Source organism: Homo sapiens, chromosome 16 (assembly GCF_000001405.40).
Source record: "Homo sapiens chromosome 16, GRCh38.p14 Primary Assembly".
NCBI lineage: Eukaryota > Metazoa > Chordata > Mammalia > Primates > Hominidae > Homo > Homo sapiens.
Window position 1 is genome coordinate 32726044 of NC_000016.10, and position 13571 is coordinate 32739614.

Consider the following 13571-nt stretch of genomic DNA (forward strand, 5'->3'; position numbering starts at 1 on the left):
AACGCCCGGGCATGGTGGCTCACGCCTGTAATCCCAGCACTTTGGGAGGCCGAGGCGGGCGGATCACGAGGTTGGGAGATTGAGACCATCCTGGCTAACACGGTGAGACCCCGTAACTACTAAAAATACAAAAAATTAGCTGGGCATGCTGGCACGCGCCTGTAGTCCCAGCTACTCGGGAGGCTGAGGCAGGAGAATCGCTTGAACCTGGCAGGCGGAGGTTGCAGTAAGCTGAGATCGCGCCACTGCACTCCGGCCTGGGAGACAGAGTGAGACTCCGTCTCAAAAAAAAAAAAAGAAAAACTTTGGAGTATATTAATAAACATTGTGTTTTTTTAAAAAAAAATTTAAATCTTTAATTTCCGTTTTCACGATTTTTCTTCTTGCTTCCAAAAGGAAAGGAGTGCGTAGCTCTGTTGCCTTTACATCGTCCACGGCCCCTGGGTTGGGGCGGGGTCCCCCGGGCCGCCCGGGGGTCCACATGCAGTCCCTGGGGGGGCCGGCGCGGGGTGAGGTCCGGGGGCTGCCTTATTGCTGAGGTCCGGCCGGTTGGGGCCCTGGCGGCCGCTAGGCGCTCTGGCTGCGCAGCTCCTGGGAGATGAAGCGGGCAGGCGCTCCAGGTACTGGCTGTAGAGCTGGATGTCTTTGTGCCCGGCGCCCTCCACCCACAGCGGCTCCACGGCGTTGGGGCAGCGCTGGGAGAGCGCCAGCCCGTGCGAGAAGTCCATCACCTCGTCTTTCGTGTCCTGGATGATGAGCACGGGCGGCGTGATCTTGGACACCTTCTGGATTCTGCGGGAGGGGCGTGGGGCGGGTGAGACCTCGCCCGGCCCGGGCCCCGCCCCGCTCCGCCCCCGCCCCCGTCCCCGCCCCAGCCTGCTCACTTGGGGAAGGCATCGAAGCAGTAGGTCTTGGTGTCCGGAAGGCGACGCTCAGGTCCAAGGTGAGCGGCGAGTGCAGCACCACCGTGGCGGACTCGTAGCGCGAGGCCAGGTCCACGGTGGGCACCGTGCCGATGCTCTGCCGGTACAGGATGATGCCGTCCGGGCTGATGCGGTACCTGGCGGCACCTGAGCAGGGTCAGCCTAGGCCTCCAACGCGCGCGCACCCCTCCTGCCAGCGGGCGTCCCCGGGCCCAGCTCCGGATGCGACTCTCCAGTCTCCCCGCTCAGCCAAGTCAGTTGGTCAGGCCCAGGCTCCACACCAGTCTCAAGGGCCACCCCCAAGCCCCCCAACACCGCAGCGGTGGGCGAAGCCGGCGGCCTGGTCCTGTTCCCTGCCACTATGGTTCACTGGCGTTTCCTAGCCAGGATCTGCTGGATCCTGGCTAGGGAGTCCCCCTCAGGCTAGGGTAGGGGAAGCCCTGGCACCTCTCCTCCTCTTGGTCACCCCTAGGCGCACACTGGGAACTGTGTGGCCTCCCACATCCTGAATGCTTCACGCCTTCCTGCCCAGGTTAGAAAGCTCTTCCTGGTGCACTGGCCGGGACAGGGTACACTCTTCCTCCCTGCAGCCCTTGCCTACCCCCTTGGCCATGAGGAATTCAGGCAGCTGTGTCCCCAGATGTCTCCACCCAATTTTGGACTCTCAGAGTCCCATGCCCAATGAGCTGCCAGCCCAACCCAGGTCAACATCGAGGGTGGTGGCTGCGGGGGCAGCATCTCCTCCCACCAGTGCCTTCCCTTGGGAGTGGACAAGTCCTCCGCCACCTCAGCACCACCAGCTCCCACCCAGGGCCACCCCCACTCCCAGGTCACTGGTGTGCGGCCCCTGGCCCAGCTGACCCAGCACCAGTCCCAAGGCCTCCTCATGCCCAGTCCCAACCACGCGGGACCCACCTGCCACCCTGTCGATGCCGAGACCCCAGAACTCTCCTCCCACAAGCTCCAGGCTCTGATGCCAGGCAGATGCCCTCCTGCAAGGCAGGAGCATGGGCAGGTGTGCGTCCCGTCTGGCTGGCATTCGGACTCCACCAGCAGGGCTGTCTCCCTCCCTGGCCTGGAATCCCAGCCTCCTGGCAGCACTCCACAGCTCACTGCTCACCCATGCCCCAAAGGATGCTGCCTGGCTTGTGCCTGTGGCTGCAGCTCTGCCTCAGCCTCCCTGGCCTGCTCCCTGGCAGCCAAGGCCAGTAGTGTGCTGAGCCAGCCCAGCCCTGTCACCTGCTCCAGGCAGGAGCCCCCAGCTGCCACCTAGATGTCACCACTCAGACAATCAAACAAGACACATCCTCCATAGAGGCCCTGAGCGCTATCTGGCCTCCCCCTCACGGCTCTGGGCTGAGGATCCTGCAGGACAAAGCGACAGCAGGACAGACGGCAGAGTAGACAGAGCTCAGAGCTGGCCATGGGGGGTGTGACTCTGCCAGTGCCCCGGGCAGTAGAGACAGGAGGGGGTCCAGGAAGCTGCATGAAGTGGTGCTTGGTTTCGGCGCCCCACACTGCCGGGAGGCCCCCAGAGCCAGGGTGGTGCCAGGGGACCCAGCTCCCACGCCCACAGCAGGGACTGCCTGGGATATCTCCAAGGCAACGAGGACCCCACCTCCCAGGGCCTCTGACTTCTCAGAGCTGCGCCTGGCCCCTGCAGGAGCGGGTCAGACCACTGGGCTGGGCAGGGCAGGGCCAGGACGAGACAGCCCCAGCGGGTGGTGAGCAGGAAAGGCCCCCAGAGGCCCACGCGGGTCTTCTAGTCCAGAGCAGCACTGGCCCGGGTGGTGCTCAAACACCAGTGAAGGGCCCAGGCAAGCGCAGGGCTGGGGACCTGGATGATTAGGAGGGCTGGATCTGGAATCGAAGCTGGCCGAGACCTCAGGTGTGTGCTGGGGGTCTGCACCTGACCCTGCAGGCCCTGCCCCGGGATGGCTGAGCTCCACAGCCACGGGGCCTCATGGGCCAGGCCTTGGGACCTCGATGCAGCAGCCTCGCCTCACCTGGCCCCAAGTGCGGCCTCAGCCCGTGGGCTCCCAGCCACACATGCACAGACCCCCTGACACCACCCACCCCCTCCCGCCAGGTGGTGTCCACGCCCCTGTGACAAGCTCAGCCCCTTCCTGTCCTCAGGCCAGGGGATCCCAGGGAGCCTGGCTCCACAGGCCAGGGTGTGGGGGGACCTCCTGGCCACACCTCAGCCATGTGGAGGCAGCACCCGCATGCCTGAGCTCACCTGTCCGGCTCTCTGGCAGCATGCGTCCACTGTGGCTCCTCTCCTGCAGGGCCGCCCACCTTCCTCCCAGGGAAGCCCGCCCCTCCCCCCGGCCCCTGGCCCCCGGCCTGGTCCCCTCTCGGGTGTGCCCAGGCTGAGCTGCGCCCGGGGTCGCCCTCACCTGGTGCGCAGGGCCTGCCAGGCGGCGTTGATGTCGGCGTAGAGGTTCGTCTCGGAGGGCCTGCCCGAGCTGGCACCGTAGCCAGAGTAGTGGTAGGAGAAAATGTTGCAGTGGAGGCGGGAACACAGGCCAATGTAGAAGCTGCTCATCTGGCCCAGGTCCACCGCGTTGCCTTCCTTGTTCATGCACCTCTGGTCAGACGCAGTTCAGCTGATCTAGGCTGGGCTTGGCTAGCATTGGCTTGAAGCTGCAGCTGGTGTCCAGATCTGTTCTACGTATTTGTGATTCTCCTCAGCCCTCCCGGGTACTTGAAGCATGTTATTGTTATGGCAAAAGTCAGGAGTGCAACCTGCCTGTGCAAAAACATGCCAGGCTTCTGTTGCCTGAAATCCTCTAAGATACCCCTTTGGCTTAAGCAAAATCACACAGCAAGGATCAAAGTCAAGGAGTGGGGAATTATATCTGTCCCTTAGAGATGGAGATAGGAGAGAGTGTGAACAAATGCAGGAAAATGATCTCATCTACCAGAGTGTCCTTAAATATTTTAACATAATAAATTCAGTATTGTTTTTGTTTGATTGAATGAAGCTTTGCATGGACACAGTACAGTACAAAAGTACTATTTGAACTCTTTCTCCACATTCATAAAATTGCTAGTTTCTACCATGATTATATTTTTATGATCCATTTTTGTGTACAGATCTGAAAACTTTATACTAGAATTTATTAGCTGAGGAAAGGAACATCCACTGACATCATCATATACAAATATTTCTCAACATTTTAATGCTTGTGGTATTGTTAATGTTTCTGTGGAAAAAAAATCACAGAAGTGATTTCTAAGTCAGTTATTGATTTATTCTAATGAATTATAAAAATCAGACTAAATTACTAATAGAGAAATTACATTTGAAATACTAGTCTGAGCTACAGATGAGATGGATTTTTGTGCTCATCATTTGTACTCTAGCTATGTTTGTTGAGATTGGGTTATTAAAACATAATTATAACATTATCAGCAGAAAAGCCTGTTGTGCTATAATTAAATCATCTAAACAATCATTTTTGTGGTCTTAATATCCTGGATTTCTCAATTCATTGTAGTAGATAAGATTTCTCTTTAAATACTACTTACTATCAGTAGCTTGCTTTTCTGTGAATGCTAGAAAATTTAGAATTCTGCATTAACATTTAACAAAATATATGCTATCCTAATATTGATGCATTATATTTATCTATACAACATGCAACAAGAGAGAAATACTGGATGAATCAGAATATTTGCAGCCTATGGCAATTATCTGTAGCAACATTTTTTTTGTCTTCAGAAAAATATAGATGATTTTGGAAATGGATTAGTTCTAGTTTCAATCTAGGAAGAACTACTTATGGAAGTTTTGTGTACAGGATACTGATGTTTTCAAATATAATGCATTATTATTTTAGTTTAGTTTCTTTTACCACATACTTAGAAATTGTTCAAGTGAACAGGCTATTAAAACTAATGGTATAGATAAATGGTATAGATAGGCCTTGTAAACATCCCACTTTTCCCAAGCCATGAATTTTAACACCTGATTAAGGAGATGAAAATGGAGCCATTGGGAATGTGAATTCTTTGCTAATAATTATTTTTCTTCCTTTAAAAAGATTCTTCAAAAGGCAAGAATATGGAAGTATTTCAGGAGATACTCTTGAGGTATCTAAAATACATACTCTTCCTATCAAAATCAGTAAATAGATTGATGTAAGTAAGATAAAGTCAGGGCAACTGGTTTTGCATGTGAGTGTACACACAGACACATATCCATGTATTCTCCATCTGTTCTCAGTTACTGAATTATTAGACCCAACTGACCACTTGACTGTGTTTAACCTGATAAACAGACTCTTAACAAGAACAATATTTTAAAAGCTGGATTGTTCCTCCTACTTCTCAGCATGCATCAGCCACTCTCTTTCCCCATCCTATCTCCTGCCAAATGGTCTCTAAATATCTGTTCCACTTGGAGACACTATTGGATGTTGTTGTAAATGACTTTAATGAATATTCACTCTACCTGCTTTCATATTAATTCAGTTTTCCTAGGATGGTCTCTATGGGATCAAGCAAAAGGACTTAGTGGAATATCTCTATCTGACTCCATAAAGTAAAGAATGTGGTGAGTTTAACAGAGTGCCCCTTCCTTTACTAAATGTGAATGATGTTTCAGTATAGGAGGCCAGAGTGAAAAGTCCTAACGTATGTTTGTTTGGGCAGCCAACAATTGGTCACATTGTACATTTCATGTTACAAAGGAGCCTCATGGTAGTATAAATGAGGGTCGGGAAAAGACACTTAACTGCTCAGGGCTTTAAAATGGAGCCAGAGCAAGAATTGTAGAAGTTGACAATATCAGGAAGGAAACCTCTGTAAGCAGGCACGCAGGGGAACTCCAGAAATCTCTTCTTTGCCCCTACAACTCTGGACTTTCAGAAATACACACCCCATCCTCCTGTATTAATACAAAATTCATGTTCACAACAACATCAAAAATCAATTTTAAAATAGTAAACCTAAGGTAGACGGAAAGACATTATAGCCTCAGCATGCCTGAGATGTGAGGAGCAAATCAGAAAGATGTTGAGTGTGAAGAGAAAGGGACATCGTGATAACCAATCATTTAAAATTTTTACTCCAGAGAAATGGCAATATTTCACAGATTGTTTCTCATCACCAATCTCACAAGTATAAGTATTTTCTGAAAATTTTCCTCTCAATTTTTTTCCTTGACAGTGAAGTCCAGAATAGGTTGGTTTAGATCTTGCTCTTTTCAGCCTCAATACTCCATAATCACCTTGGCTTTTTTGATTATGACTGGATGGCATGTACTATTATTTTAATATTAAAGATTTAGTAAATAATTTTAAATGTTATCCTTAAATAACTGTGGGCTTTATTCATTTACTGTACATATTTTGAAAACATTCATAAGAACTTAAGGATTTTAATTCAAATGGTCTCTAAAGTAGAAAATGCACTCACAGATTATGCGTATGTCTTTTAAGAAACAGAAACGTGCCATTTGTTTTTAAATTGAGTAGACTTTGTATCCTTTAGAATTTGGGCAGAGTTTTCTTGCTATATTGTAGAGAACCTATCAACCATATCTTAATTTTCTTCTTCTTGAGGTTTTCAAAATTAACATTGGCATTGGTCCACTAATTCCTTGTTTTCTATTTTTGGATGAGTGTGCATAATTACCTCCATCTTAATTTTCAACATAAATGTTTAGCAGAATCTTTCATGTTTCATTGCCATGTAAGCAGATGTGGTTTTTATTCTTTTTCCTTTTCATTGAACAGTTACTTCATTTGAAATTTTTCACTTGATTTAACTTTTTTTTTTTGGTGGTAGATACATCTGTTGCCACCTGTGTCTGGTTGGCATTTTAATGTGTTGCCTCAAAGCTGTAACCACAATAGTGGCACATTTTCCTGCTGTTCCTTTATTCTTTGTTTCATGTGTATCTGTTTTCAAGAAATTGCATTGGTATACTATCATAGCTTTTTTTGTCTCTCAGATTTTCTATTGTAATTGTTTATATTTATGCATTTGGAAATATTTCATGATTGTTACATAAAACAGCAGAGCTCTTTTAGAAAGTTTTCATGGTTTCCCAAATGTACAATCATATAGATTATTTAGTAGTTATTACATAATGATCTTTGGAGCAATAAATGCTGTTATATAAGAACAATTCCCAAATGTAATTTGAAAGTTATAAGCTAGGCTTTGACGGCCTAGAATTAATGTACCTTTATAATTCTAATCTGCATGCAAATTTAAGAAGACCACGGATTGAGGACTGGGTGCATAATTTTCAGGGCCCAGTAAAAAGTGAAAATGTAGAACCCTTTGATAAAAAATTACAAAGAATTTCAAGATGACCATAATAGGCCATGCACAAGGCCTTTCTAAATGGGTAGAGTGATCATGAAGCCATGGGCATTGTTTTGTTTTGTTTAATCTTACTGTTTGGTTGTAAAGCAGATCTTTAAATCAAGAGAAAAAAGAATGCCAAAGAACATCTCAATCAAAATGTTTTAAACATTATAGAAGATTAGATCCATATAAATGAAAGGGATAAAGAAAAAGCACATATCCAACCTCAAATATAAAGCATGGAATTCTTATGTGAACTCCATTATAGCACTTGATATTTCAGCTCTATTTTCATTTTTGAACAACTCTAGATATATCTATATATTTTAGTCTAAAATTTAATTTTTATAAGTTCTAAGTTCTTCCCCAAATTCTACCTTAGATAAACAATTCAGAGATACCTGTGTTTCCTATTCTATTAGGTGGAACCATATGAAATTGTCAGTATTCAGCCTTTTCTGTCCTACAAAAAAATGACAGCTTTGTGTTTCCACCTAACACATGGCAGCCCAATAAATATGTGACAGTCAGGACCATAGAGCTACCACACTAAACAATACTAAATGCATACACATACCCTTTCCAAAACCCTGGCAGGTCTTCTTTTCCCCAAAAGAATCATTCTTTGACTCTTCACCCATTATTCATGTGAGAAATTTTCCAGGCCCGTCAACATGTCAGTTGAGTGACTGTAACAATTAGATCTATCGATTCTCCTCTCACAATTTGACATTCTTTATTGAAAAGCATGATCTAAATGTTGACTAATAGTCTGCAGAGTGAAACATGTTTACTAGTTCCCATGACCTAAAACAGTGTAAAACCATGATTCAAAAATTTCTTTTCTTAAAAACTTCTAAACAATATGTCTGCCGGGATAAACTGGTGCAATTTCTATGTGGAACCTAAAGAATTTCAATGACACATTTTCATCCTTATTGCTGTTAAATAATCCCTTCAATAGTGCCCCATCTTCTGTACTCCTTCATACGATTTTCTATCTTATTATTTTCCATCATTCTTTCTGTTACAACTATAATAGTTTCTTTGGAGAAACTATAGATTTTCCCACTTCAGAGGCATTTCTGCATTGAGCTCTCATAAACCTCTCTAACATGGTGGGAAATAGACTCAATAACATTTGTGTATGAATTCAGTTGTGAATTACTTAAGGCTCATCTATAACATCAAAAAGCAACTTGGTAAAAACAATTCTATTGAAGATTATATGATCTAAGTATATATAACTTTAGGATGGCTTCGACTGAGACAAAAATAGTATCGATACAGTGTGGAGCAATGAATTTCTAAAATTTTTATCTGCTTAACATTTTTCAACAGCACAATTTATACAGAAGCCCAACATGAGACATTCTTGTTCACATGGAATTTCTCTGCCCGCTTGAGCCCTGTAGAAATACCACAGTGTTGGTAAACAGCAACAGCAACAAGAAGATACTAAGCTTGAATTCTCAGTGGCTCAACCACACCAAAGTTTGTGGGTTGCTCCCATAAAGTTCAATGTCAGTCAGAATAAACTCCTCTATCATTAACCTATGACACACATTGCACGTAACCTTCAAAGTACTGGAAGTGGAAAAGGAGAGAACCTGGGAAGGAGGCAGGGGCTTTTTACTGCCTCAGCCCCAGAGTGATTCATGGCACTTCACCTCAGAGTCTCTTAGATCTTTCCACGTGATCCCAACATAACTGGATGTCTCTGAAATATCTGGGAGGGCATGAAGATTCATTACATGTCTTAGTATTCATTACATGTCTGTTTACAGACTCCATTTTGCTTTCTAAGATGCTCCCTGACTCTTCTCAGAAGCTTTACATAACATGCTATATAAAACACTGATCTAATCAAAATATCACCCTATACCCTATAAATATGTACAATGATGTGTCAATTTAAAAATTAAAGCAAAAAATCCACTGATCTAAAGGGATGATTTCCTCATGCTTCAGGTAATTCTTCATGGAATATTAGTCTCCAATACCAAACTTTTCTTAAGAATTTGGCTGCAAAGAATCCAATAATGTATTTTCAGAAAGAGATTGGAATGCCACAATCTTGTGCATCAACAAAAGAGTGTGTCCCTTTTTGACATTTGGGTCTCTGCGTGACTTCTGACAGAAAGGACAGGCTCAGAGGACACATGGGCATGTCCAAAATTTAATTTCTAAAAGGCTTCTCGATCTGCCCTAATGAAGACATGAGTCTAGAAAGTTTCTGACCTCCAGAGCACAGACAGTGCTTCTTCGGAGAAATTATAGATTTTCCCACTTCAGAGGCATTTCTGCATTGAGCTCTCATAAACCTAACATGGTGGGCAAGTTGGTATTTCAGTCCTTCACATTTAGCTCTGAGTTTAGTACTTGATGGATTTTAAATTAAGTTTCTTTGACATGAAATGAAATCTTCAGCTGCCTGTTAGTTCCAAAGCAGGCCCTCAAGCTCAACACATTAAAAAATTAGTCGTTTCCTCAGAATCTTGTTCTTCCTTCAGAGTTTCCAATTTTTGTTACAGATACCACCTGTCAGACAGTCATTTGGGCTTAACATTTTAAAGTCTGTTCTGGGTCTTCCACATTCATTATTCTCTACAGTCAATCACATTCCAAGGATTGTTGCCTCCAATGCATGCCTTTTTCTCAGTTTTATTTTCTCCCATCAGAGTCATGCACAGATTAGCTCTCAAGTGAGCTATTATAATGGCCTCCTAGCATCTAAACTCTCTTTTTCCAATTGATAGTTCTGCCAGAGTTGTCTTCTTAAAGCAGAGGTTAGACCGCATTTCTCTAAGTAAATTCCAACGACACCAAAATAGTGATTCTTAATAAGTATTACAAGTAGGGAAATACAGATGGGAGAGTTTCCTTGGTAAATAAGTTCATAAAATCTAGGTTAAACAATGTTAAATGGGGTTTGCTTTTTGCTGTTGCTTTGTTAATGTGCATTTGAAATTTCTAAAGTGGCATTACATATCCATAATTTCCCTTATCTGTTTGACAAAGGAATCTGGTTTGTTTAGAAGCATTTTTTCAGAACTTCTATAGGTCAACCTTTCAGAAATTCCTCATTATCAACAGTCAAATACAGATGTATTTTCTTTGGCTCTCGCAACAGGCTTAGAGGAATTTCTAGTCTGTTCTTGTGACGTTTCATTATATGCATCTTTTGCTCAGGCCTGTTAAACCTACTCAACGTGTGTATCTTCTACTCCATGTCTTTATTCTTACTGTTGTCTTAACATGAAATCCTTGCAACCCAATTCATAGTTTTTGTACTTTGGAAAAATCCAGATTATGTATCATCAATACATATTTTTTCTCTATTGAGATTTTCCTGTTTTTATGTATCACAGCCAGAAGTAATCACTGCATAGAGTATTTCTGCAGAAAGATGGAAGAGTTCTATTTTAACACAATATTTACTATACACCCAGCAAAGGTCTAGGTATTTATAGATACTATTTTATATATTCATCCCATCAATGCTATGAAGAAATATTAATAAACCCATTATATATGCTAAAAGGTAGCGACACATATATGCCACATGTGCAGGTTTTCTCAGGTATTATTAGCTAGGGAAGCTGTGTTGTAACAGTCTTCAAAAACTTCCTTCTATTGTTTACATGCTATTCCACATCATTTTGTTTTCATTTCTTTTGTAGTATCTAATGTATTCTACTAAAAAAAAAAGTACAGAAGTTGGAAAACTCTTGTGAAAAAACATATATTACATATATACTATTCTTCATGATGCTCAAAATTTTCATCATTATTAACATTTTGTATATATGTGTGTGTGTGTGTGTGTATGTATGCGTGTTAGATATATAATTTAAAAGAAAACAATAAGTTGGTGGCTTATGGCATATTGTTCCTTAAGTCCTGCATTTGAAACACACTGAGTGAATCAGCACATTTGATCATCTTTTAACTACAGTAGATGATTATACATTAAAAATGCATTAACCATCCAAATACATCTTTTTTATTTATTTATTTATTTATTTATTTATTTTTATTTATTTTGAGACGGAGTCTTGTTCTGTTTGTTGCCCAGGCTGGAGTGCAGTGGCGTGATCTTGGCTCATTGCAAGCTCCGCCGTGACCTTGGACATATCCCTAATATTTTCAAGCCTCAGTTTCTCGTCTTTAAAATTAGAATAAAGATACCAAACTCCTGGGGTTTTGTGAGAGTAAAATGAGACGATGTTTGTAAGAGACTCAGCGCAGTGTCAGTATCTACCATGTGCTATGTACTCTGCGTTTTCTTTTTTTCTTTTTTTTTTTTGAGACGAAGTCTCGCTCTGTCACCCAGGCTGGAGTGCAGTGGCGCTATCTCCGCTCACTGTAAGCTCCGCTTCCCGGGTTCAAGCCATTCTCCTGCTTCAGCCTCCTGAGTAGCTGGGACTACAGGCACCGTCCACCACGCCCGGCTAATTTTTTTTTTTTTTTTTTTTTTTTTTTTGTATTTTTAGTAGGGACGGGGTTTCGCCGCGTTAGCCAGGATGGTCTCGATCTCCTGACCTCATGATCCGCCCGTCTCGGCCTCCCAAAGTGCTAGGATTACAGGCGTGTGCCACCGCGCCCGGCCCTGCGTTTTCTACTGTGGATGCTACTGAATGTTTTTAGTATTTGCTGTATGTCAAGAGCTCTTCTAATTAAACTCTATGCGTAATGACTCACTTAAAGGTTACTATTATTATCCCTATTGTAAGAAATGGACATTGGGGCACAAAGAGGCTTAGAAACTTGCTCAAGATCACATACCTGGCTGAGCGCGGTGGCTCACACCTGTAATCCCAGGACTTTGGGAGGCCGAGGCAGGCGGATCATGAGGTCAGGAGATCGACACCATCCTGGCTAACACGGTGAAACCCCGTCTCTGTCTGTCTGTCTTTCTCTCATCTCACTCTGTCACCCAGGCTGGAATGCAGTGGCACAATCTCAGCTCACTGTAATGTCTGCCTCCTGGGTTCAAGCGATTCTTCTGCCTCAGCCTCCGGAGTAGCTGGGAGTAGAGGCATGTGCCACCATGCCTGGCTAATTTTTGTATTTTTAGTAGAGATGGGGTTTCACCATGTTGGCCCAGCTGGTCTCAATCCCCTGACCTCTGGTGATCTGCCAGCGTTGGCCTCCCAAATTGCTAGGATTGCCGGTGTGAGCCACCACACCTGGCCTTTATTTCTTTATTTTCTATTGTTTGTTTGCAGTGATAGGATCCCCAATTCAGAAATCAAGTAAAGGAAGTATGCCTCCAAGAGGTATTGGAGTAGATAAACTAGATATTACAAAGCCTACAGATTCAGTCTATTAATTTTTAAAAATAAATTATTAATTTATTTATAAACAGTGTGTGTGTGTGTGTGTGTATGTGTGTGTGTGTGTGTGTGTGTGATGGAGTCTCGCTCTGTCGCCCAGGCTTGAGGGCAGTGGTGCAGTGGCCCGATCTTGGTTCACTGCAACCTCCCCCTACCGGGTTCAAGTGATTCCCCTGCCTCAGCTTCCTAAGTAGCTGGGATTACAGGCACCCGACACCAGGCCCGGTTAATTTTGTATGTTTAGTGGAGAGGGTTTCACCATATTAGCCAGGATGGTCTCGATCGCCTGACCTCATGATTCGTCCACCTCAGCCTCCCAAAGTGCTGGGATTATAGGTGTGAGCCACCGTGCCCGGCCTATTTAAACAAGTTTTTAAAATAAATTATTTTATTTTAACTTATCATATTCCTTTATTCAGGGAGATAAGTTACTGAGATAACTGGTAGTAGGCAAAGAGAAGAAACAGGGTGAAGTCAGGTTTGTTGGTGGAGGAAAAATGATACTAAAGACTGCCCAACAAATATTCAGAATCCAGAAATGTTCATATTTCTCCATGGTTCAATTTCTCATGGGTCACTTTTCATTACAAGGATTCTGGAGAGCAAATAAGACAGGATTCTCTCAGGTATCAACCCAGTCTTTTTTTTTTTTTTTTTTTTTGAGACAGAGTCTCGCTCTGTGGCCCAGGCTGGAGTGCAGTGGCGCCATCTTGGCTTACTGCAACCTCTGCCTCCCGGGTTCAAGAGATTGTCCTGCTTCAGCCTCCCGAGTAGCTGGGATTACAGGCCCACGCCACCATGCCTGGCTAATTTTTGTATTTTTGGTAAAGACAGCGTTTCACCATATTGGTCAGGCTGGTCTCGAACTCCTGACCTCAGGTGATCCACCCGCCTCGGCCTCCCAGAGTGCTGGGATTACAGACGTGAGCTACCGTGCCCGGGCCAACCCATAGTCTTTCAGTCTTCTCTCAGCCAAGGCATCCAG

General features: G+C 44.3%; 1 pseudogene; it reads right to left on the reverse strand.

Moving 5' to 3' along the window:
- Positions 1-368: 368 nt before the first annotated feature.
- On the reverse strand, positions 369-3497 carry ABHD17AP7 (ABHD17A pseudogene 7; annotated as a pseudogene).